The sequence below is a fragment of the Homo sapiens genome, chromosome 7 (genome assembly GCF_000001405.40).
Source record: "Homo sapiens chromosome 7, GRCh38.p14 Primary Assembly".
NCBI lineage: Eukaryota > Metazoa > Chordata > Mammalia > Primates > Hominidae > Homo > Homo sapiens.
The window spans coordinates 105,386,257-105,410,473 of record NC_000007.14 but is presented as its reverse complement, the minus strand read 5'-3'; the positions used below and the strand labels follow the sequence as shown (position 1 = coordinate 105,410,473).

Here is a 24,217-nt window from a genome sequence, read left to right as displayed (position 1 = left end):
GGAATAGAAAGGGGGGAAAGGTGGGGAAAAGATTGAGAAATCGGATGGTTGCTGTGTCTGTGTAGAAAGAGGTAGACATGGGAGACTTTTCATTTTGTTCTGTACTAAGAAAAATTCTTATCCTGTTGATCTGTGACCTTACCCCCAACCCTGTGCTCTCTGAAACATGTGCTGTGTCCACTCAGGGTTAAATGGATTAAGGGCGGTGCAAGATGTGCTTTGTTAAACAGATGCTTGAAGGCAGCATGCTCGTTAAGAGTCATCACCACTCCCTAATCTCAAGTACCCAGGGACACAAACACTGCGGAAGGCCGCAGGGTCCTCTGCCTAGGAAAACCAGAGACCTTTGTTCACTTGTTTATCTGCTGACCTTCCCTCCACTATTGTCCTATGATGCTGCCAAATCCCTCTCTGCGAGAAACACCCAAGAATGATCAATAAAAAATAAAAAATTAAAAATAAAAATAAAAATAAAATAAAATAAAATAAAACAAAATAAAATAAAATAAAAAAATGAAAAATTAGCATGGTGTGACAGTGCTTGGTTGTGGTCCCAGCTACTTGGGAGGCTGAAGTTGAGCCTAGGAGGTCAAGGCTGCAGTGCACCAAGATTGCACCACTGCACTCCAGCCTGGGCAACAGAGCATTACCCTTCTAAAAAAAAAAAAAAGAAGAAGAAGAAGAATATTGTTGAACTAACATTTTGTGAGTTCTAGACCCTGCAAAAGCTTGTGCCTCCACTTTCTTGGGACCTGAAATTTAAAGAAGCTCAGACAGACGATTTAATGATGAAAGACCACATGGCCAGAGAGGGCCCACCTTTCCAGTCAGTCCTGCCAAACCTCCAGATATATGGATGAGGCTTTCTTGGACCACCAGCTTCAGCTGACCCATCCGATGGATGCAGCAAGATGACTGAGCTCATAAGACCAGAAGAAAAACCTCCCAGAGAACCAACGTAACACAGAATTGTGAGAAACAATAAACCACTGTTGTCTTAAGCTATTAATTTTGCTTGTTTGTTTTTGCACCAAAAGGCAACTGAGGCAACACCCAACTTGCAAGAACCAGATTCCTTAAGTATTGGGGGACTATACATTTAGCATTATACAGGAAAGAGAAAAGAGAGGGAGAGCATGAGAACTGAAGAAATGTCTGAGAAGTCAGACATAGAAAGAACCTCTATCACTTTGCATGAAGACTTCACAGCATGTTTACTTCCTCTCCGGTAACAAATACCGCATGAAAAGAGACATCCATTTGCTATAAGTCCATGAGTGATGAGTCACAAAATATGCCTTACACACCAGAGATTCAAAAATAAATTTATTTTTAGCTGGGTGTGTTGGCACACGCCTGTAATCCCAGCTGCTAGGTAGGCTGAGGCAGGAGAATCACTTGAACCCAGGAGGTGGAGGTTGCTCCAACCTGGGCGACAGAGTGAGACTCTGTCTCAAAATAAATAAATAAATAAATAAATTAATTAATTAATTAATTTATTTATTTGTATTTCATAGCCAAGTATATCTGCTTCCTCAACATTTTGTCAATGAAAAAGTCTGTATTTTATGGATTGTTTTTACTACTCTGTAAATGGAATCTCAATAAGTTGTATTACTTTTAAAATCAGAAGAAAGGCACACCTAACATACGAGTACTGTAGTATATAAAAATAAGTTTAAATTTTTTTAATTTTTAATTTTTATGGGTATATGTTGGATGTATATATTTATGGTGTACATGAGATATTTTGATACAGACATTCAATGTGTAGTAATCACATCAAGATAAATGTGGTATCCATCATGTCAAACATTCATCATTTCTTTGTGTTATGAGCATTCCAATTGTCTCTCTCAGTTATTCTAAAATGTACAGCAAATTATTGTTAACTGTAATAACCCTGTGGTGCTATCAAGTACTAGGTCTTTAACTATATTTTTGTACCCATTAACCATCCTTACTCCCCTCTCCCCACTAAACCTTTGCAGCCACTGGTAGCCATCTTTCTATTCTCTATCTCCATGAGTTTCATTGTTTTAACTTTTAGCTTCCACAAATGAGTGAGAACATGCAAAGTTTGCCTTTCTGTGCCTGGCTTATTTCTTCTTTTTTCTGAGGTGGAGTTTTGCTCTTGTTGCTCAGGCTGGAGTGCAGTGGAGTGACCTCAGCTCACTGCAACCTCTGCTTACTGGGTTCAAACGATTCTTCTGCCTCACCCTCCCCAGTAGCTGGGATTACAGGCATCCACCACCAGGCCCGGCTAATTTTTTCATATTTTTAGGAGAGACGGGGTTCCCCCATGTTGACCAGACTGGTCTCGAACTCCTGACCTCAGGTGATCCACCCACCTCGGCCTCCCAAAGTGCTGGGATTACTGGCGCAAGCCACCACGCCCAGCCTTGCCTGGCTTACTTTACTTAACATGATGACCTGGCCAGGCATAGTGGCTTACGCCTGTAATCCCAGCACACTGGGAGGCCGAGGCAGGTGCATCACCTGAAGTTACGAGTTCAAGACCAGCCTGACCAACATGGTGAAACACCGTCTCTACTAAAAATACAAAAATTAGCTGGATGTGGTGGCACACGCCTGTAGCCCCAGCTACTCAGGGAGGCTGAGGCAGGAGAATCGCTTGAACCTGGGAGGCGGAGGTTGCAGTGAGCCGGGATCTCCAGCCTGGCGACAGAGCAAGACTCTGTCTCATAAATAAGTAAATAAATAAATAAATAAATACATAAAACATGATGAACTTCGGTTCCGCCCATGTTGCTGCAAATGACAAGATCTTATTTATTTATTTATTTAGAGACAGAGTCTTGCTCTGTCGCCCAGGCTGGAGTGCATGGTGTGATCTCGGCTCACTGCAACCTCTGCCTCCCAAGTTCAAGTGATTCTCATGCCTCAGCCTCCCTGAGTAGCTGGGATTACAGGCGCCTGCCACCAGGCCAGGCTAATTTTTGTATTTTTAGCAGAGATGGGGGTTTCGCCATGTTGGCCAGGATGGTCTCGAACTCCGGACCTCAGGTGATCCACTTGCCTTGGCCTCCCAAAGTGCCTGGATTACAGGCATGAGCCACTGCGCCCAGCTGTACCACGTTTTCTTTATCCATTCGTGTGTTGTTGGACACTTAGGTTGCCTCCAAATCATGGCTATTGTGAACAATGCTGCAATAAACATGGGACTTTATATCTCTTCAATATACTGACTTCCTTTCTTTTGGGTGTATACCCAGCAGTGGGATTGCTGGATCATATGGTAGTTCTATTTTTGGTTTTTTGAAGAATCTCCATATTGTTCTTCATGGTGGCTTTACTAATTTACGTTCCCACCAGCAGTGTACAACGGTTCCCCTTTCTCGACGTCCTCAATAGCATTTGTATTGCCTGCCTTTTGGTCAAAAGTCATTTTAACTGAGGTGAGATAATATCTCATTGTAGTTTTGATTTGCATTTCTCTGATGATCAATTATGTTAAGCATCTTTTCAAATACCTGTTGGCCATTTGTATGTTTTCTTGTGAGAAATGTCTTTTCAGATCTTTTGCCCATTTTTTAATCAGCTTATTAGATTTTTCCCTGTTGAGTTGTTTGAACTCCTCATATACTCTTGTTATTAATCCCTTGTCAGATGGGATAGTTTGCAAATATTTTCTCCCATTCTCTGGGTTGTCTCTTCACTTTGTTGTCTGTGTTTCCTTTGTTGTGCAGAAGCATTTTAACTTGATGTGATCCTATTTGTCAATTTTTACTTTGGTTGCCTGTGTTTTGTTATCATTATTATTTTTGTTTTGTTTTGTTTTGAGATGGAGTCTCGCTCTGTTGTCCAGGCTGGAGTGCAGTGGTGCCATCTCAGCTCACTGCAAGCTCTGCCTTCCGGGTTCATGCGATTCTCCTGCCTCAGCCTCCCGAGTAGCTAGGACTACAGGCACCCGCCACCATGCCCAGCTAATTTTTTGTATTTTTAGCAGAGATGGGGTTTCATCATGTTAGCCAGGATGGTCTCGATCTCCTGACCTCGTGATCTGCCAGCCTTGGCCTCCCAAAGTGCTGGGATTACAGGCGTGAGCCACCGCCCCCGACCCTATTATCATTATCATTATTATTTATTGAGATGGAGTCTCGCTCTGATGTCCAGGCTGGAGTGCAGTGGCGCCATCTTGATTCACTGCAACCTCCTGCCTCCTGGGTTCAAGCGATTCTCCTGCCTCAGCCTCTCAAATAGCTGGGATTACAGGCATGCACTGCCACCACACCTGGATAATTTTTTTTTTTTGTATTTTTAGTAGAGATGGGGTTTCACCATGTTGGCCAGGCTGGTCTTGAACTCCTGACCTCAAGTAATCCGCCCGCCTTGGCCTCCTAAAGTGTTGGGATCACAGGTGTGAGCCACTGTGCCAGGGCGATTGCCTGTGTTTTACGCATAAAAATAAGTTCATGCAGGCCGGGCGCGGTGGCTCACGCCTGTAATCCCAGCACTTTGGGAGGCCGAGGCGGGTGGATCATGAGGTCAGGAGATCGAGACCATCCTGGCTAACAAGGTGAAACCCCGTCTCTACTAAAAATACAAAAAATTAGCCGGGCGCGGTGGCGGGCGCCTGTGGTCCCAGCTACTCGGGAGGCTGAGGCAGGAGAATGGCATGAACCCGGGAAGCGGAGCTTGCAGTGAGCCGAGATTGCGCCACTGCAGTCCGCAGTCCGGCCTGGGCGACAGAGCGAGACTCCGTCTCAAAAAAAAAAAAAAAAAAAAAAAAAAAAAAAGGCCGGGCGCGGTGGCTCACGCCTGTAATCCCAGCACTTTGGGAGGCCGAGGCGGGCGGATCACGAGGTCAGGAGATCGAGACCATCCTGGCTAACACGGTGAAACCCCGTCTCTACTAAAAATACAAAAAATTAGCCGGGCGTGGTAGCGGGCGCCTGTAGTCCCAGCTACTCGGGAGGCTGAGGCAGGAGAATGGCGTGAACCCGGGAGGCGGAGCTTGCAGTGAGCCGAGATCACGCCACTGCACTCCAGCCTGGGCGACAGAGCGAGACTCCGTCTCAAAAAAAAAAAAAAAAAAATAAGTTCATGCAATTGGTAACTGTGTTATTTAGAAAGCATAACTGTTATTTTATAAACAAATGTATATATTGCCTTACTCCCCCTCCTCCTTCTCCCCTGCCCTGATTATTCTTGAGTGGATTTAAGAGTTATAGATGCTGGTCAGGCTTCTATATTAATAACTTCCACCAAGCTGCTACTTTTTCTCCATGTTGAGCTCAGGTCAGGAACCCTGAACTCCCAGCTGGTGCTAGAAACCCATTGGGGCTTGAGAGTTTGGCTTGTGACTGCTTCATGTGGGGCCTGCAGATGTAGCAAACAACTTTGCCTTGGGGCTTACACAGATCATTCTTACAGTATCACAGAGGTTTAGGGGGGCACCTTGAAGTCTGAGGCCCTGTAAGAATAAATCTTAAAGGGATCCGGTTCTAAAGATTCTTCAGTGAGGGTTTGAACTATGAGGTTGATGAGCCAGATACAAGGCTGCCCAGTCTATAAGCAGATCCCTGTCACAGTTGTGTTGCGTCTGCTCCTGATCAATTCATTTAGGCAGACTGCGAGGAGAGGAATGTGTCTCAGAGGTCAATAGAAGCAACCTGTAGAAACTGAGACCTGCCTATCTACAACAGCCCAGTGGTATATGTGATGGGGTTACTGAGCAGTCTGTAGGCAAGATTGGCCTCCATTTACATTACTATTTCACATTGGTTCAACTGTACAAAAAAATAGGTTTAAACTTTCTTTTTTTTTTTGAGACAGGATCTTGCTGTGTCACCCAAGCTGGAGTGCAGTGGTGCAATCTTGGCTCAGTGCAGCCTTGATATCCCAGGCTCAAGTGATCCTCCCACCTCAGCCTCTCAAGTAGCTGGGACTACAGGCATGCACCACCATGTGTGGCCTATTTTTGTATTTTTTTTTTTTTTTGAGATGGTGTCTCACTCTTGTTGCCCAGGCTGGAGTGCAGTGGTGCAATCTCGGCTCACCACAACTCCACCTCCCGGGTTCAAGTGATTCTTCTGCCTCAGCCTTCCGAGTAGCTGGGACTACAGGTGCATGCCACTACGCCTGACTAATTTTTGTATTTTTAGTAGAGATGGGATTTCACGATATTGGTCAGGCTGTTCTTGAACTCCTGACCTCAGGTGATCTGCCCACCTTGGCTTCCCAAAGTGCTGGGATTACAAGTGTGAGCCACTGTGCCCCGCCATATATAGGCATGAGCCACCGTGCCTGGCCCAGACTTTAGTTTTCTTAACATTGCAATATAAAAATTCTGGAATAGAAGGCCAGTGGCTCACGCCTGTAATCCTAGCACTTTGAGAAGCCAAGGCAGGCAGATCACTTGAGCTCAGGAGGTCGAGACCAGCCTGGGCAACATGGTGAAACCCCATCTCTACAAAAAATTAGCTGGTCGTGGTGGTTCACGCCTGTAATCCCAGCTATTTTTGGGGCTGAAGTGGGAGGATTGCTTGAGCCAGGGAAGTCGAGGCTGCAGTGAGCTGAGATCTCACCACTGCACTCCAGCTTATGTGACAAAGTGAGACGCTGTCAAAAGAAAGGAAGGGAGGGAGGGAGGGAAGGAGGAAGGAAGGAAGGAAGGACGGAGGAAGGAAGGAAGGAAAAGAAAGATTGATTCTGGAGTACAAAGTGAGATGCTGTCGAAAGGAAGGGAGGGAGGAAGGAAGGAAGGAAGGAAGAAAGGAAGGAAGGAAGGAAAAGAAAAATTGATTCTGGAGTAGAAATTAAATTACAGGCTGAGTGCTGTGGCTCACACCTGTAATCCCAACACTTTGGGAAGCTGAGGTGGGAGAATTGCTTAAACTCAGGAGTCTGAGACCAGCCTGGGCAACATGGGGAAACCCCGTCTCTACAAAAAACAAACAATAAAAAACAAACAATAAAATTTAGTGGAAGCCAGGGCTCACGCCCTGTCATCATGGCACTTTGGGACACTGAGGCAGGATGATCACCTGAGGTCAGGAGATTGAGATCAGCCTGGACAACATGGAGAAACCCCACCTCTACTAAAAATATGCCGCGTCTGGTGGTGGGCACCTGTAATCCCAGCTGCTTGGGAGGCTGAGATTGTGCTACTGCTCTTCAGCCTGGGCGACACAGCAAGACCCTGTCTTAAAAAAAAAAAAAAAAAAGGCAGGACGTGGTGGCTCATGCCTGTAATCCCAGCACTTTGAGAGGCCGAGGAGGGGAGGTCACCTGAGGTCAGGAGCTCCAAGACCAGCCTGGCCAACATAGTGAAACCTGCCTCTACTAAAAACACAAAAAAATTAGCTAGGCATGGTGGCATGTACCTGTAATCCCAGCTACTAGGGAGGCTGAGGCAGGAGAATCGCTTGAACCCGGGAGGCGGAGGTTGCAGTGAGCTGCGATGGCGTCCCTGCACTCCAGCCTGGGCGACAGAGTGAGACTCCATCTCAAAAATCAAAAAACAAAAAGCCTAGCGGGCGTGGTGGGTAGCACCTGTAGTCCCAGCTACTTGGGGGACTGAAGTGGAAGCATCACTTGAGCCCAGGAGGTCGAGGCTGCCGTGAGTCAAGACTGTGCTATTGCAGTCCAAGCCTGGTGACAAAATGAGATCCTGTCTCAAAAAAAAAAAAAAAGAAAAAAAAGTATGAAGTGTATTGACTTTTTTCTAAATTTAAAAAGTTTTGAGGATTAGATGTGAAATACTGGGAATGCTTTAAAATCAATGCAATCACTAGTATAACCATTTTAGAAAACTTTTGGCTGTATGTGCTAAAAATGCACACAGATATAACCTATGACTCAGCAATTCCATTTCTAAATATATACACATATTCACCAAAAACCTCATATAAGGGTGTTCACAGCAACATTATTCATAATAGCTTAAGTTGGAGACAACCCAATCACCGATGACTGGTGGAATCACCTATCCATCAGAATCTAGGGGGGACACAGAAATTATTTACTTTTTATTGAAGTTGGACCAATTATTTTATTTTATTTTATTTTTTATTTTTTTGAGATGGAGTCTCGCTCTGTCGCCCAGGTTGGAATGCAATGGCACGATCTCAGCTCAGTGCAACCTCCGCCTCCCAGGTTCAAGAGATTCTCCTGCCTCAGCCTTCTGAGTAGCTGGGACTACAGGCGCGTGCCACCATGCCCAGCTAATTTTTTGTATTTTTAGTAGAGACCATGTTAGCCAGGGTGGTCTCAATCTGCCCACCTCGGCTTCCCAAAGTGCTGAGATTACAGGCATGAGCCACTGTGCCCAGCTGGACCAATTATTTTATAATAAAAAAATTAACGAATTGTTTGTTTGAACAGGTATTAGAGAACTAAGTAAAGGGGATACTGAACTAACCCACTAATAAATCAGGAATCAGCACCCATATCTGGGGCTGGGAAACACAGTTAGCAGTAAGGGTTATCAGACCTCAGAAGCTTAGAGGAGGGAGCTGGGACCCAGATGTATAAAGAGGGAGTACTCCCAGGAGTTGCTATTATTTCTAGGGGAATATAATGAGGCTGATTTGAGGAGCTCCGTGAAACCTGGGACTGGAACCATTGCTGTCCCTGTGATAAAGAGCCAGTGCTGAGACGACGGTGACCAAAAGGCCAGCAAACAGGAAGTAACATTTCCCTGCTCCTGTTCCTCTTCTCCAGGCTTCCAGTCTCCCTCTAGTGACCCCAACTGGCAGAATTAATGGCGGAGCACATTGGCAAAGGAGAAATAAGATCACATTTCCTCTATTATAAATGTGGCTTGGCGTGGCTCATCCCAGCCCTTTGGGAGGCCTAGGTGGACAGACTACTTGAGGTCAGGAGTTTGAGACAAGCCTGGCCAACATGGTGAAACCCCGTCTCTACTAAAAATACAAAAATTAGCTTGGCGTGGTTGTGCATGCCTGTAATTCCAGCTACTCAGGAGGCTGAGGCAGGAGAATCGCTTGAAACTGGGAGGCGGAAGTTGCAGTGAGCCAAGATGTGGCCACTACACTCCAGCCTGGGCGACAAGAGCGAAACTCTGTCTCAAAACCAAACCAAAACAAAACAAAACAAAACAGCAAATAAACAAATGTGGCCACAACTCCCCCCTCACAAAGCTGATAATAGAATGGTGGGTTTGGGGCTGAGATAGTAGTTTAATAAATAATGTGAAGACATTTTTAAAATATGGCATATTCATACAATGAAATACTATAAAACAATGAAAAGATTGTACAGACAACACATGGGTGAGGCTCACAAACAAAACGTTGAAAAAAACCAGCCAAATACAAGAGTAATTAGTGTAGGGTTCCATTTCCATAAAATTTAAAAGCAGGCAGCATGAATCTGTGGGGTTAGGAATTAGAATAGAGGCTATCTTGGTAGGGGCAGTGACTGAGGAGAGAGGAGGGGGACTTTTGGGATACTGGTAATATGCAATTGTCTTTTTTTTTTTTTTTTTAGACGGAGTGTCGCTCTTGTTGCCCAAGCCGGAGTGCAGTGGTGCCATCTCCACTCACCGCAACCTCCACCTCCCAGATTCAAGCAATTCTCCTGCCTCAGCCTCCTGGTAGCTAGGATTACAGGCGCGCGCCACTATGCTCAGCTAATTTTTGTATTTTTAGTAGAGATGGGGTTTCACCATGTTGGTCAGGCTGGTCTCAAACTCCTGACCTCAGGTGATCTGCCTGCCTCGGCCTCCCAAAGTGCTGGGATTACAGATGTGAGCCACCGTGCCCAAACTATTTTTTTTATTCTTAATTTTTTGAGATGGAGTCTTAACCTGTTGCTCAGGCTGGAGTGCAGTGGCACCATCTCGGCTCACCACAATCTCTGCCTCCTGGTTCAAGTGATTCTCCTGCCTCAGCCTCCTGAGTAGTTGGGATTACAGGTGCCTGCCACCACGCCTGGCTAATTTTTGTATTTTTAGTAGAGACGGGGTTTTGCCATGTTGGCCAGGCTGGTCTCGAACTTCTGACCTCAAGTCATCTGCCTGCCTGGGCCTCACCAAAGTGCTGGGGGAGGCAGAGTTTGCAGTGAGCCGAGATGGTGCCACTACACTCCAGCCTAGGCAACAGAGGGTCTCAAAATAAAAAAAAATAAAAAAAATTTTTTTACATTGAATCTCTTTCATTAGTTACAATAAAATGGAAAGCAAATTCTTTTTTTTTTTTTTTTTTTTAAGACGGAGTCTCACTCTGTCTCCTAGGCTGGAGAGCAGTGGCACGATCTCAGCTCACTGCAAGCTCTGCCTCCAGGGTTCACGCCATTCTCCTGCCTCAGCCTCCCTAGTAGCTGGGACTACAGGCGCCTGCCACCACACCCAACTAATTTTTTGTATTTTTAGTAGAGACGGGGTTTCACCGTGTTAGCCAGGATGGTCTCGATCTCCTGACCTCGTGATCCGCCCGTCTCGGCCTCCCAAAGTGCTGGGATTACAGGCGTGAGCCACCGCGCCCGGCCGGCAAGCAAATTCTTATACTCAGAGAGCTCAAGCATTTGAGAAATGAGTATTATATCAGAGCTATATCCATGTTCTAAGACTTGGAAGAAATGGAGCCCAGGGTGTTAAACTTAGCACAGATTATGGCCAGATCTTCTAATCTATTTGATTATGTCCTGGCATATTAGACATTATTCTAAATTTTAATACAGCCCCAGGTAAATCTTTGGGCATCATTTTTGAACTGGCTTATGTAAGAGTCTCCTATACTATTTTATTTATAACAAACTTGTCACTATTGGTGATTTTCTCTAGACAATCCAGTCCCTATTCCTTTTTGTTTTGTCTGAATGTTGAACTGAAAATTCCCTTTGATATCTACTGCTTAAATAAATAGCAGAATAAGAGCCTCTAAAGATTCTCACTTGAAATCAGAGGCATTTAAAGGAAAGAAGGAATGACCCCTTGTGGTGATTTTAAAATATGTCCAGCATTCTTTGATAATCCTCCCTTCCAGAAAGGGACTTAATTCCCCTTCTTTAAGCATGTGCTGTACTTATTTCTGATGATTAGAATGTGGCAGAAATGATGGATTGTGACTTCTGAGGGTAGGTCATAAAAGGCATTGAAGTTTCTCCCTTGTTATCTCTTGGATCATTCACTCTGGGGGAAGCCAGCCACTCAAGCAGTCCTATGAAGGGGTCCGTGCAGTGAGGAAATGAGGCCTCTGCAACAGCTATGCAAGTGAATTATCTTGGTAACAGGTCTTTCAGCCTCCGTCAAGCCTTCAGATGACTGCGGCCTCAAGTGACATCTTGACTCACCAGCTAAACTGCTCCCAAATTGCTGGACCACAAAAACTGTGAGTTATGAAATGTTTATTTTTTTAAGCTACTAAATTTGGGAGAAATTTGTTATACAGCAATAGATAAATAACACATTGCTTAACATGGCACATATATATGATCAGCTAATATTTATTGAATGCTTAGATACTTCTATAAGTGTTTCATGTGAACTAAGTCATTTAATCCTCCAAACAGACATGCTTAGGTACTCCTCCAAGTATTTTATGGGAATTAACTCATTAAATCCTCACAACAAATTTGTAGGGTAGGTAATATTACTATCTACATTTTGCAGATCAGGCAGTTAAGGCACAGAGAGACTAATTTGCTCAAGCTGGCCCAGGTAAATAATGGCAGAACTAGCCCTTGAACTCTGGCAGTCTGGCTCTGCCACTCTCTTCTATGTTACACTATTATGATGGTGCTATTGCCACTGAGAAGTACGCTATAGTGAAACAACAAAAGACAGGTTTAAGCTTCATAATTGAATGGGCAGATTAGATATAAATAAACTTTAAAGAATTTAAAAGCCTTGGAGGTGCTTTTAAAAGGAGGCTTGGGCCAGCCTGGCCAACATGGTGAAACCCTAAAATTTTAGTCTCTACTAAAAATACAAAAATTAGCTAGGCGTGGTGGCATATGCCTGTAATCCCAGCTCCTAGGGAGGCTGAGGCAGGAGAATCGCTTGAACCTGGGAGGCGGAGGTTCCAGTGAGCTGAGGTTGCGCCATTGCACTCCAGCCTGAGCTTCAAGAGCAAAACTCCGTCTCAAAAAAAAAAAAAAAAAAAGGAGGCTGGGTTTTCATCCATTAAAGGCCCCAAGACGGGTGATATGACTTCCCGTCTTTTTCCAATTCTATGACGTATTAAATACACCTTCTAAGATGCAACATGATTTAGTGACTCCACTGGGAGATATCATAATCCAATTGGTTTTACAACATTCTTTTCATTTTCTATTACATTTGGGAAAAATTAATACTATGTGGACATTTTGAGTTTCATTGTAACAGATTGGGGAAAAATACATATGTACTGCCTTTTTCACTTATTTTGGACTGCTATGGAGACCAAAATATATCCAGTTTTATAAATATTTAATACTTCCCTTTATTAATTATAATATTTGCATAACTAATTTCATTTATGCAATAAATATGGTCGAATAAAAAAGTTTAAATCATCCTCATTACATTATTTATCTTAAAAATTCCTTTAAAACCGGTTGGGTGCGGTGGTTCACACCTGTAATCCCAGCACTTCGGGAAGCCGAGGTGAGTGGGTCACTTGAGGTCAGGAGTTCAAGACCAGCCTGGCCAACATGGTGAAACCCCGTCTTTACTAAAAATACAAAAAAAAATTAGCAGGGCATGGTGCTAGGTGCCTGTAATCCCAGCTACTCGGAAGGCTGAGGCAGGAGAATCTCTTGAACCCATGAGGCGGAGGTTGTAGTGAGCTCAGATGGTGCCACTGTACTCCAGCCTGGGTGATAGAGTGAGACTCAGTCTCCCAAAAAAAAAAATTACTTTAAAATATCACTCTAGGCCAGGTGTGGTGGCTCATGCCTGTAATCCCAGCACTTTGGGAGGCTGAGGCAGGTGGATAACAAGGTGAGGAGTTCGAGACCAGCCTCGCCAATATGGTGAAACCCCGTCTCTAAAAAATATACAAAAATTACCCGGGCATGGTGGCGTGTGCCTATAGTCCCCGCTACTCAGGAGGCTGAGGCAGGAGAATTGTTTGAACCTGGGAGGCGGAGGTTGCAGTGAGGCGAGATCATGCCACTGTGCTCCAGCCTGGGCAACAGAATGAGACTTCATCTCAAAAAAAAAAAAAAAAGAAAGTCACTCAAGGGGGTCGGGCATGGTGGCTCATGCCTTTAATCCCAGCACTTTCGTAGGCCGAGGCGGGTGGATCACGACGTCAAAAGATCGAGACCATCCTGGCCAACATGGTGAAACCACGTCTCTATTAAAAATACAAAAATTAGCTGGGTGTGCTGGTGTGCACCTGTAGTCCCAGCTACTCGGGAAGCTGAGGCAGGAGAATTGCTTGTACCCATGAGGCGGAAGTTGTAGTGAGCTGAGATCACGCCATTGCACTCCAGCCTGGGCAACAAGAAGCAAACTCTATCTCAAAGAAACAAAATAAGTAAAAACAATAATAAAAGCATCCACTAAAAATAAAAATAAAAAAATAAAATGTCACTCTACATTGTGCTGCATTTCTGAAGAAATACTTAATTTCAAAGTCAACAGAGACTAGGTTTGTAATTCTCTTCCTTCCTTTCCTTCCTTCCTTCCTTCCTCCCTTCCTCCCTCCCTCTATTTCTTTCTCTCTCTCTCTCTCTTTCTCTCTTTCTTTCTTTCTCTTTCTCTTTCTTTCTTTCTCTCTCTTTCTTTCTCTCTCTTTCCTCTCCTCTCCTCCTCCTCCTCCTCTTCCTTCTCCCCTCCCCCTCCCCTTCCTCCTCCTCCTTCTCCTCCTACTATTCTTCTTCCTCTTCTTCTTCTTTTCTCTCTCTCTCTCCCTTTCTTTCTTTCAAGACGGAGTGTCGCTCTGTTGCCCAGGCTGGAGTGCAGTGGCGCAATCTCAGCTCACTGCAAGCTCTGCCTCCCAGGTTCACACCATTCTCCTGCCTCAGCCTTCCAAGTAGCTGGGACTACAGGCACCTGCCACCACGCCCAGCTTTGTATTTATAGTAGATATGAGATTTCGCCGTGTTAGCCAGGATGTTCTCTATCTCCTGACCTCGTGATCTGCCTGCCTCAGCCTCCCAAAGTGCTGGGATTACAGGCATGAAGCCACCACGCCTGGCTATCATTTAACTTATCTTTTTAAGATGTATGGTCTCATTGTTCAGGCTGGACTCAACTACTGGAGTCAAACTACTGGACTGAAGCTGACAGGACAGGTGAGCACCTCTGTGCCCCACTTACCATTCTTTCTAAAAGCTACTAGCCGGGCGTGGTGGCTCATGCCTGTAATCCCAGCACTTTGAGAGGTCGAGGCAGGCAGATCACCTGAGGTCGGGAGTTCGAGACCAGCCTGTCCAACACGGAGAAACCCCGTCTCTACTAAAAATACAAAATTAGCCAGGTGTGGTGGCGCATGCCTGTAATCCCAGCTACTTGGAATGCTGAGGCAGGAGAATCGCTTGAACCTGGGAGGCGGAGGTTGCGGTGAGCCGACATCATGTTATTGCACTCCAGCCCGAGCAACAAGAGTGAAACTGTGTCTCAAAAAAATAAATAAATAAAAATAATTTTAAAAAACATCACTATAGTATGTGTAAAGCTAATTGATAATTAATTTGGTATACTTTAATTCAATAAATTCAAAGCAATTCATAAATATCTGATTTGCAAAGATAGTTTTCTTCTAATTTATAGAAGTAAAAAGGACTGGCAAGATAGCTTTAAGTTCTTTTTTTTTGTTTTGGGAGACAGAGTCTTGCTCTGTTGCCCAAGCTGGAATGTGCAGTGGTGCAATCTCGGCTCACTGCAACTTCTGTCTCCCAGGTTCAAGCAATTCTCCCACCTCAGCCTCCTGAGTGGCTGGGATTACAGGGGTGCACAACCATACCCCGCTAATTTTTGTATTTTTAGTAGAGACGGGGTTTCACCATGTTGTCCGGGCTGATCTGGAACTCCTGACCTCAGGTGATTCGCCCGCCTTGGCCTCCCAAAGTGCTGGGATTACAGGCATGAGCCACTGTGCCCAGCCAGCTTTAAGTTCTTTAATTCAGTGTTACCTTCTCGGTGAGGCCTTCTTGAACCATACTCCCAACAGATTGTTGATTTTTTTTGCTTTCAGTTTTTTTTTTAAATTTATTTTTTAGTTGATAGAGGTGGGGGGGTCTCACTATGTTCCCCAGGCTAGTCTTGAACTCCTGGGCTCAAGCAATCCTCTTGCTTTGGACTTTCAAAGTGCTAGAGTTACAGGTGTGAACCACTCCATCCAGTCACTTTCTGTTTTTTGTTTTGTTTTGTTTTGTTTTTGAGATGGAGTCTCACTCTGTTGCCCAGGCTGGAGGGCAGTGGCAAGATCTTGGCTCACTACAACCTCCACCTCCTAGGTTCAAGTGATTCTCCTCCCTCAGCCTCCTGAGTAGCTGGGATTATAGGCATGTGCCGCCACGCCTAGCTAATTCTTGTATTTTTAGTAGAGATGGGGTTTCACCTTGTTGGCCAGGATGGTAGGTCTCGATCTCCCAATCTCATGTCCCGCCCACCTTGGCCTCCCAAAGGGCTGGGATTACAGGCGTAAGCCACCGCGCCCGGCTGTTTTGTTTTGTTTTTAAATAAAAATGATCACCATCTAGTAAACATAATATATATTTCACATATTTATGTTGTTTATTTTCTGTTTTCTGGCAGTAGAATGTAAGCTCCATGAAGGCAGGGACATTTCTGTGTGCTTTGTTCACTGCTATAGAATCAGTGTCTAGAATAATGCTTGCTACATAATAGGTATTTGATAAGTATTTGTTGAAAATTGAATGCAAAAATCCAACAAACAGATTGGCGATGTATCTCCCAACTGTTAAGAATTACTATTATTGGATATTTATCTTATTTGATTATCGAACTGACCTATGAGGACTAGTATTAGTACATGTTGTTATCACTTTCCAGATGTTGTAATTAAGTAACTTGCCAAAGGTCGTGCAGAAATTAAGTAGCAGAAATGGGTTTTAATGTTAGGCTAAGTGAAAGACTCTGGCCACAAATTGGCTGGGCGCGTGGCTCACGCCTGTAATCCCAGCACTTTGAGAGGCCGAGGCGGGCGGATCATGAGGTCAGGAGTTTGAGACCAGCCTGGCCAATATGGTGAAACCCCATCTCCACTAAAAATACAAAAATTAGCTGGGCATGGTGGTGTGCACCTGTAGTCCCAGCTACTTCGGAGGCTGAGGCAGGAGAATCGCCTGAACCCGGGAGGCAGAGGTTGCGGTGAGCCGAAATCATGCCACTGCACTCCAGCCTGGGCGACAGAATGAGGCTCCGTCTCAAAAAAAAAAAAAAAGAAAGAAAGAAAGAAAGAAAGACTCTGGCCACAAAAGGCCACGTATTGTATGATTCCATTTACATGAACTGTCCAGAACAGGCAAGCCTATAGAGACAGGAAGTACATTAGTGGCTGCCTAGGCCTAGTGCAGGGGAAAGTTGGAGGAAATGGGGAGTGTCTGCTAATCTGTATGGAGTTCTTTTTGGGGGGAGCAATTTTTTTTTTTGAGACAGTGTCTTGCTCTATTGCTCAGGTTGGAATGCAGCAGCGCGATCATAGTTCACTATAACCTCCCTAACCTTGAACTCCTGGGCTCAAGTGATCCTCCTACTTTAGCCTCCCAAAATGCTGAAATTATAAATGAGAGCCACCACATCTGGCGCAGAAATGTTTTAAAATGAGATTGTGGTAGTGGTTGGCACAACGCTGTGAATATGCTAAAAAACACTGAATTCTATATTTTAAAATGGCTGAATTGCATGTATGTGTTATATCTCAATAAAGCCTTTTTAAAAATAATAAAAAGGCCGAATGTGGTGGCTCATGTCCATAGAGTGAGACCCTGTCCTCTGAAAACAACAAAAAAATAGTGACAGTAATTTTTGTCAATATTGATACCAAAAACAAAAAACAAGCCAGAAACAAAGAAAGAAAGAAAAAAGGCAGAGGAGCAGGAGGGGAAAAAAAAAAAAAAAAAAAAAAAAGAAAAACCAGAGGGAGAAATAAAAGCTCCTCCTTATGCGGTGGTGCACGCCTTTAATCCCAGCAGTTTGGGAGGCCAAGGTGGGCGGATCACCTGAGGTCAGGAGTTTGAGACCAGCCTGGCCAACATGGTAAAACCCCATCTCCACTAAAAATACAAAAATTAGGCTGGACGCGGTGGCTCAAGCCTGCAATCCCAACACTTTGGGAGGCTGAGGCAGGCAGATCACTTGAGGTCAGGAGTTTGAGACCAGCCTGGCCAACATGGTGAAACCTAGTCTCTACTAAAAATACAAAAAAATTAGCCGGGAGTGGTGGCGGGTGCCTGTAATCCCAGGTACTTGGGAGGCTGAGGCAGGAGAATCACTTGAGCCTGGAAGGCGGAGGTTGCGTTAGGCCAAGATCGCGCCACTGCACTCCAGCCTGGGCGACAGAGCGAGACTTCCCTTCCCCTCTCCACCAAAAAAAAAAAAATACAAAAATTAGCCGGGTGTGGTGGTACATGCCTGTAGTCCCAGCTACTTGGGAGGCTGAGGGAGGAGAATTGTTTGAACCTGGGAGGCGGAGGTTGCAATGAGCGGAGATCACACCACTGCACTCCAGCCTGGGCGACGGAGCAAGACCCTCTCTCAAAAAAAAAAAAGAAAAAAAGAATATCACTTAAGTCTGGGTATAGTGGTTCACACCTGTAATCCCAGCACTTAGGGAGGCAGAGGCAGGTGGATCACTTGAGGCCAAGAGTTTCAGACCAGCCTGGCCAACATGGTGAAAACCCGTGTCTACTAAAAATACAAATGGTGTGCGTCTGTAGTCCCAGCTACTTGGGAGGCTGAGGTGGGAAAATCACTTGAACCTGGGAAGTGGAGGTTACAGTGAGCTGAGATCACACCATTGCACTCCAGCCTCGGCAACAGAGCAAGATGCCCATCTCAAAAATGATAGGATTATAAAATCACTGTTCTACAACCAGTGTGGTAATAGTTGATTTAGGCAAGAATCATCAATGGATGCCAACCCATTGAGATATTGTCAGGGAAGAGATATTCACACAGTTTCAAAGTATCACCCCACACAAGTAACTTTGTTGTTTTGTTTTGAAGTGAAATTCACATTAAATGAAAGAAACCACTTTAAAGAGAACAATTCAGTGGCTTTTAGTCTATTAGCAATGTTGTGCCACCACCACCTCTATCTAGCACCAAAACATCTTCATCACACCAAAATAAAACTTGGTACCCATTAAGCAGTTGCTCCCTCCTTCTCCCACCCCCCAACTCCTGGCAACCACCAATCTGCTTTCTGTAGATTTGCCTATTCTGGATATCTCATATAAATGGAATCATACAATATGTGACATTTTGTGTCTGGCTGCTTTTATTTAGCATAATGTTTTTGATGTTCATCCACATTGTAGCATGTGTCAGTACTAAATTCTTTTTATGGCCAAAAAAATATTCCAGTGTATGTATATACCGCAATTTGTTTATCCATTCATTTATGGATGACCATTTAGGTTTTTTCCACCTTTTGGCTGTGATAGCGCTGCTATGAACACTCATGTACAAAGATTTGTTTGAGTATCTGTTTTCAGTCCTTGTGCATATATACCTAGGAGTGGAATTGCTGTTAATTCTATAATTAGCTTTCTGAGAAGCCAACAGACTGTTTCCATAATAACTGCACCATTTTACATTCCCACCAGAAATGTAGGAGGGTTTCAATGTTTCCAACATATGAGGGTTCCAAAATCCCCACCAACACTTTTTTTCCATTAACATTTTTTTTTTGAGATGGGGTCTCACTCTGTTGCCCAGGCTGGAGTGCAGTGGTGCGATCATAGTTCACTGCAGCCGCCAACTCCTGGACTCAGATGATCCTCCAGCCTCAGCCTCCAAAATGCTGAGATTACACTTGTGAGACATCACGTTTGGCCTTATTTTCCATTACAAAAATTTTTAGCCGGGCGCAGTGGCTCATGCCTGTAATCCCAGCACTTTGGGAAGCCAAGGAAGGTGGATCACCTGAGGTTGGGAGTTCGATACCATCCTGACCAACATGGAGAAACCCCAGATCTACTAAAAATACAAAATTAGCCAGGCGTGGTAGCACATGCCTGTAATCCCAGCTACTCGGAGGGTTGAGGCAGGAGAATCACTTGAACCTGGGAGGCAGAGGTTGCGAAGAGCTGAGATCGTGCCATTGCACTCCAGCCTGGGCAACAAGAGCGAAATTCCATCTCAATAAATAAATAAATAAATAAATAAATAAATAAATAAATTTTATAGTCATCCTAGTAGGTGTGAAGTAGTAGCTCATTATAGTTTTGCTTTGTATTTTCCTAACAACTAATGATGTTAATTCTCTTGTCACATGCTAGTTTGGTCATTTGCATGTCTTTGGAGAAATGTCCATTCAAATCCTTTGCTCATTTTTCATACAGACTTCTTAAATACAGAGGGAAAAGGTACCTGTATCTTGGAGAAATAATTAACTGTAACATCACCAGTAATGGAACAAACTGACATCATATTTTGATGCACTAAGATGAATACAACATCATCTATAGTATAGCCAACAAAATTGTTTAACTTGAATCTAATCATAGGGAAACAGACAAATCCAAAACAGGGAACATTCTGCAAAATGGTGGAACTGGATTCTTCAAAAAAGTCAATGTTATAAACAACAAAACAAAACAAAACAAAAAAAGGCTGGGTGCCGAGGCTCAGGCCTGTAATCCTAGCACTTTGGGAGGTTGAGGTGGGTGGATGACCCGAGGTCAGGAGTTCGAGACCAGCCTGGCCAATAGGGTGAAACCCTGTCTCTACTAAAAAAAAAAAAAAAAAAAAAAAAACAAAAACAAAAATTAACTAGATGTGGTGGTGTATGCCTGTAATCCCAGCTACTCGGGAGACTGAGGCAGGAGAATGGCTTGGACCCGGGAGGCTGAGGTTGCAGTGAGCTGAGATTGCGCCACTGCACTCCAGCCTGGGTGATAGAGTGAGACTCCATTTCAAAATAAATAAATAAATAGAAAGAAAACCAAAACACAAAACCAAGAATGATTCTAGACTAAAGGTGTTTAAAAAGACATGACAATTAAATGCAACGGATGATCCTTAATGGTAGACTAATTGGGAAAAAAAGAAAATCAGCGACAAGGGATATTACTGGGATATTTTGCAAAATTGAATATATATGGCCTGTATGTTACAGATGATTACATTGTATTAGTATGAAAGTTTCTTGGAGTGATCATGGAATTCTGATTATGTGGGAGATTATCTTTATTCTTAGTAGATATGTACTGAAATATTTAGGGATAAAGGGTAACAGTGTCTACAAAAACTCAAGTGATTCAGCAAAATAAACCATACACACAGACACATAGATAGCAAATGTGGCAGAATGTTAAAAATTGGTGAATATGGGTTAATTTGGCTGTTAATTGTATTTTCCTTGTAACTTTTCTATAGGGTTTGATATTTTTTTGAATATAAAAAGTTAAGGACTCTTCAAAATCCAAGCAGAGTTTCCCGTTCTGATTTATCATCCTTAGTGTAAGCCACCTTGTCAAAGATACAGTTGTGTGACCAATGAGGGAGTTAATAGTCAGAATGCGTATCTTTCAAAAACTATTGTAATTATTTACATAAATAAGAGAACATTGCAGTTATCTTTTTGTGTCACTATCAACTTGATTCACATCTTTTGTAGGCAGCCTGATAAGGTGGTTTGTCGACGGCCAGGCCTGAATTTCGATCCTGGCTGGTTAAACTTTTTAACCTCGTTGGGACTCAGTTTCCTCATTGTAGGATGCAGAAAATAACTACTTGGTGTGATTGTTGTTTTGAATTGTTATACACCTGGTGTTTACGGAAGCGAGTTTCAATTCATGTGCAAAACCTTTGTCCTACCTTGAATGCTATCTGTATCTTTTCCTTCATTAAACTCATGCAATCCTGGAGGGCACTTAGAGGTGGGAGAGAAAATGACTTCTCCAAGGTCACACCGCTAATCGCGGACCCAGGTTTCCCAGCTTTTGGTCGTGTGCCCTTTCCACGCCTGCCGGAGAGGAGGAAGCGGCGCTCATGGGGTTGCAAGGATGTAGAGGAGCAAAGGGAGAGAAGAGGCCGCGGGAAGAGAGGTGGTGCGAGACCCGCGGAGGCGCCGGCCAAGGACGGGCGCATGGAGCAGCGGGCGGCGCGACCGGCCGGGGTGCGGAGGGGAGAGGCCGCGGCGGGGAGGGAGGGTCCCGCGGGTCCGGTGCCCGGGAGAGGCGGGCGGCCTGGGCCAGCCGCAGGATCGCAGGAGGCGGAGGCCCGGGCCGCGGGCTGGGGTGGGGGAGGCCGAGGGCCAGCGCGGCCATGGGCGGCGGCCACTTCTGCACAGGTGGGTGGGGCGGGGGCGCGGGGCGCTGGGCGCGCGGCGCTGGGGTCCCGACCCCCGGGGCCGGCGGGTGGGGGCGGGGCGGGGGCGGGGCCGGACGGGGGCGGGTCTTGCTGGGTCCCTGCTGGAGCGGCGGCGGCGGCGGCGGCGCAGGCGCGGTTCTCGTCTCCTCCCGGCCGGCGGAGCGAGTGGAGGCTGCAGCCCAGCTCGTCTCGGCGCCCGCGTCGCCGTCGCGAAGCCCCCCGCCCCGCTTCCGCCGCGTCGGAATGAGCTCCCGGAAAGGTGAGTGGCCCGCGGCGCGCCCTCTCCCCGCCACGCGGCCAGCCCGGGCGGGCGGCCCGACCGTTAATGTGTGTCTTCTCTTCCCCAGTGCTGGCCATTCAGGCCCGAAAGCGGAGGCCGAAAAGAGAGAAACATCCGAAAAAGTGAGTCCACGCTGCGCCTGTCCCCGTTCCCCACCCCCGCCCCGTCGGGGGCGCCCGCGGCCGCGCAGGGGAAAGTTGTCCGGGTCCCCGGGCCGGCGGGCGGGCTGGTCCCCCGGGACGCTGGCGCTCGGCTCCTGCCCCCGGCGGGCGGCCCGGGGGGAGGGGCGGCGGCGGGGGAGGGGCGCGCGGGCCGCGGCCGGTTCCCTAGCATCACGGAGCCTCGACCCCGCGACCTCCCGCCCCGGGTCGCCACCGGCCGGCGGGCGGGAGGCCGGCGGAAAGGCGCCGGGCAGGGCGTGCGCACCCGTCCCTTGCCCGCGAGCTGGCCCGGGGGTCGCGGCCCTTTCCGGAAGGGGCCCCGGCGTCTGCCGCTGGGCTCCGGCCCGCCCGCTGCGGGAGTGCAGCGGCTGCGTTGCTCCCACCTGAGCCGCGGGCCGAGGAGGCGGAGGGGCCGAGTGTGCGGGAGGGCGTGTGTCTCGCCTCCCCTTCCTCCCCGGCCCCCGCCTGTCGGCCTTTCTGCTGAGAACCTAAGCTGGTTGTCAAGTGGTTTGCCTCGGGCGTGTTCCTGGCGCGAGTTCAGCCCCGAGACCTGTGCGTTTCGGCTCTCGGGTTTGGATTCGAAACTTTCCGCTCGGGTTGAGCGTGACTTGGGTGCGCTGCGGGCGCCGGGGTCGCGGGCTGCGCAGGGCGGTGGGCGTGTGCGCGGGAGCCGGTCGGAGTGGAAAACGCGCCCGTGGCGGCCACCTCCAGCCTGGCCGCTCACCCGAGCAGGGGGGCCGCTGCCCAAGAACCCTTTCCTGGAGAGCTGCTCCGAGACCGCACAGCGCCGCCGCGTCTTCTCCTTTTCCACTCCTCTCTCCTAATTTTTTTGATTTACCAGCGTTCGACATCGTTATCTCTTCCTCTAGATTAATTGCTTCGCTCTTTTGAGCAAGAATACTCTGTGTGGCATCTTTGGTACTGTGGGGAACGAGAATCCAGCATTATCTTTAATAAAATCCAGAAACATTTTTGGTTGTTTCCTTTGAGGGGTACGTCGCAGCACGCTCACTTTTTTCCCCTTCTCGTTGGCCTTGGTCCTTCAGTTTCACAAAATGTGGATAGTGACTTAAAAATACCTTAAAAAAAAAAAAAAAAGAAAAAACCATTAGAGTAAGGGGAAAGCACTTCCTAAAGAGTTGAAGAACTAATTGGTCGGTAAAAATTGGATATTGAATTCATAAGATGTTAAAATGGACTGGATTTTTGGTAGTTTTGGTTGCTTTTAAAAAAATTAGTGCTAGCTTTCAAGTGAATTACAACCTTAAATTTGAGATTTCCTTTGGTGAACCATGGAAGTTTACCCAGTGGTAAGGAGAACTGTAATGTTTAGGATTCTGAATAAGTACTGTGTTTTAATCACAGCTCTTAATTCAAAGCATTGATTTAATTCCACGTAGTCTGTTATACTCAGAAACATAAAAACAAGTGGAAAAAGTATGACCCCAGTGTCGGAGATGGCTATGTGTGCATGTATATACAAATAGACACGTATATGTGCATGTTACCTTTACGTACATGTGGAAAAACAGTTCTAATTAAGTCAATATGTGTCTTGTATTTGCATATATTAGAGTATGATTTTCCTAATGGTCGAGGGCCTTTTTGGTGGGCCGCAGTTTGGATTTATGTGGTATGTTGATGAAGACTTAGTGAATAGCCACAGTACTCAGCTTTTCCTCTCACAGATTAATCTGCCAGTTTCTCCCACTGTGTATTGTGTATATGTGATAGAATTTGAGGGGGAAAATAACACACCAGCTAATGATGAAACGAACTGGCTCTAGTCTGTAAGGTAACGGGACCAGCCCAATTATATAACTGATTGAGGCATTGCCATTTTTCACTTAACTCTTTGAATCAAGTCATAATTTTATTTAATAATTTTTTTGAGGCAGAGTTTCGCTCTTGTCGCTCAGGCTGGAGTGCAATGGCCCAATCTTGGCTCACTGCAACCTCCGCCTCCCAGGTTCAAGGGATTCTCCTGCCTCAGCCTCCTGAGTAGCTGGGATTACAGGCACCCGCCACCAAGCCTAGCTATTTTTTTTGTATTTTTTAGTAGAGACGGGGTTTCACCATGTTGGCCGGGCTGGTCTACAACTCCTGACTTCAGGTGATTCACCGGCCTCGGCCTCCCACACAGCTGGGATTACAGGTGTGAGCCACCGTGCCCGACCTGAATCAAGATATTATTTAAAAGAACTGTTTGATGTTATTTATTTATTCATGTCTTCAATAGGTATTTACATGTCTGTCTTCGGAGATGGTGTTAGAGGTTGTTTTTTTTTTTTTTTTGAGACCGAGTCTTGCTCTGTTGCCCAGGCTGGAGGGCAGTGGCGCGATCTCGGCTCA

At 45.8% G+C, this 24,217-nt stretch overlaps 1 protein-coding gene across 26 annotated transcripts in view, besides 7 other annotated features; it reads left to right on the top strand.

The window, feature by feature from the left end:
• Positions 6,408-6,593: a silencer, noted in NCBI's record as "fragment chr7:105044328-105044513 (GRCh37/hg19 assembly coordinates)". NCBI's record gives its function as "represses an EF-1alpha promoter that drives an FKBP-Casp9 reporter gene in an ReSE screen in K562 erythroleukemia cells {active_cell/tissue: K562}" and the evidence as "EXISTENCE:reporter gene assay evidence [ECO:0000049][PMID:32094911]".
• Positions 11,117-24,217, top strand: part of SRPK2 (SRSF protein kinase 2) — a 284,618-nt gene continuing 271,517 nt past the window's right edge. For 15 of the 26 annotated variants that reach the window (XR_007060151.1, XR_007060150.1, XR_007060147.1 and 12 more), the window contains exons 1-2: positions 21,083-21,230; positions 21,772-21,826. Coding sequence is in view for 12 of the 26 variants with exons in the window: in XM_024446895.2 (XP_024302663.1) it covers positions 21,104-21,230; positions 21,772-21,826 (182 nt within the window). In the remaining 14 variants the exon portion in view is untranslated. Of the gene's footprint in view, positions 11,319-21,082; positions 21,231-21,552; positions 21,684-21,771; positions 21,827-24,217 lie in introns of those variants that run through there. The other 11 variants (XR_007060153.1, XR_007060148.1, XR_007060152.1 and 8 more) reach the window with 3 other exon arrangements.
• Positions 21,183-21,352: a silencer, noted in NCBI's record as "silent region_18521". NCBI's record gives its function as "represses an Ori minimal core promoter by ATAC-STARR-seq in GM12878 lymphoblastoid cells {active_cell/tissue: GM12878}" and the evidence as "EXISTENCE:reporter gene assay evidence [ECO:0000049][PMID:35858748]".
• Positions 21,453-21,502: a silencer, noted in NCBI's record as "silent region_18520". NCBI's record gives its function as "represses an Ori minimal core promoter by ATAC-STARR-seq in GM12878 lymphoblastoid cells {active_cell/tissue: GM12878}" and the evidence as "EXISTENCE:reporter gene assay evidence [ECO:0000049][PMID:35858748]".
• Positions 21,513-21,582: a silencer, noted in NCBI's record as "silent region_18519". NCBI's record gives its function as "represses an Ori minimal core promoter by ATAC-STARR-seq in GM12878 lymphoblastoid cells {active_cell/tissue: GM12878}" and the evidence as "EXISTENCE:reporter gene assay evidence [ECO:0000049][PMID:35858748]".
• Positions 21,613-21,742: a silencer, noted in NCBI's record as "silent region_18518". NCBI's record gives its function as "represses an Ori minimal core promoter by ATAC-STARR-seq in GM12878 lymphoblastoid cells {active_cell/tissue: GM12878}" and the evidence as "EXISTENCE:reporter gene assay evidence [ECO:0000049][PMID:35858748]".
• Positions 22,083-22,202: a silencer, noted in NCBI's record as "silent region_18517". NCBI's record gives its function as "represses an Ori minimal core promoter by ATAC-STARR-seq in GM12878 lymphoblastoid cells {active_cell/tissue: GM12878}" and the evidence as "EXISTENCE:reporter gene assay evidence [ECO:0000049][PMID:35858748]".
• Positions 22,303-22,402: a silencer, noted in NCBI's record as "silent region_18516". NCBI's record gives its function as "represses an Ori minimal core promoter by ATAC-STARR-seq in GM12878 lymphoblastoid cells {active_cell/tissue: GM12878}" and the evidence as "EXISTENCE:reporter gene assay evidence [ECO:0000049][PMID:35858748]".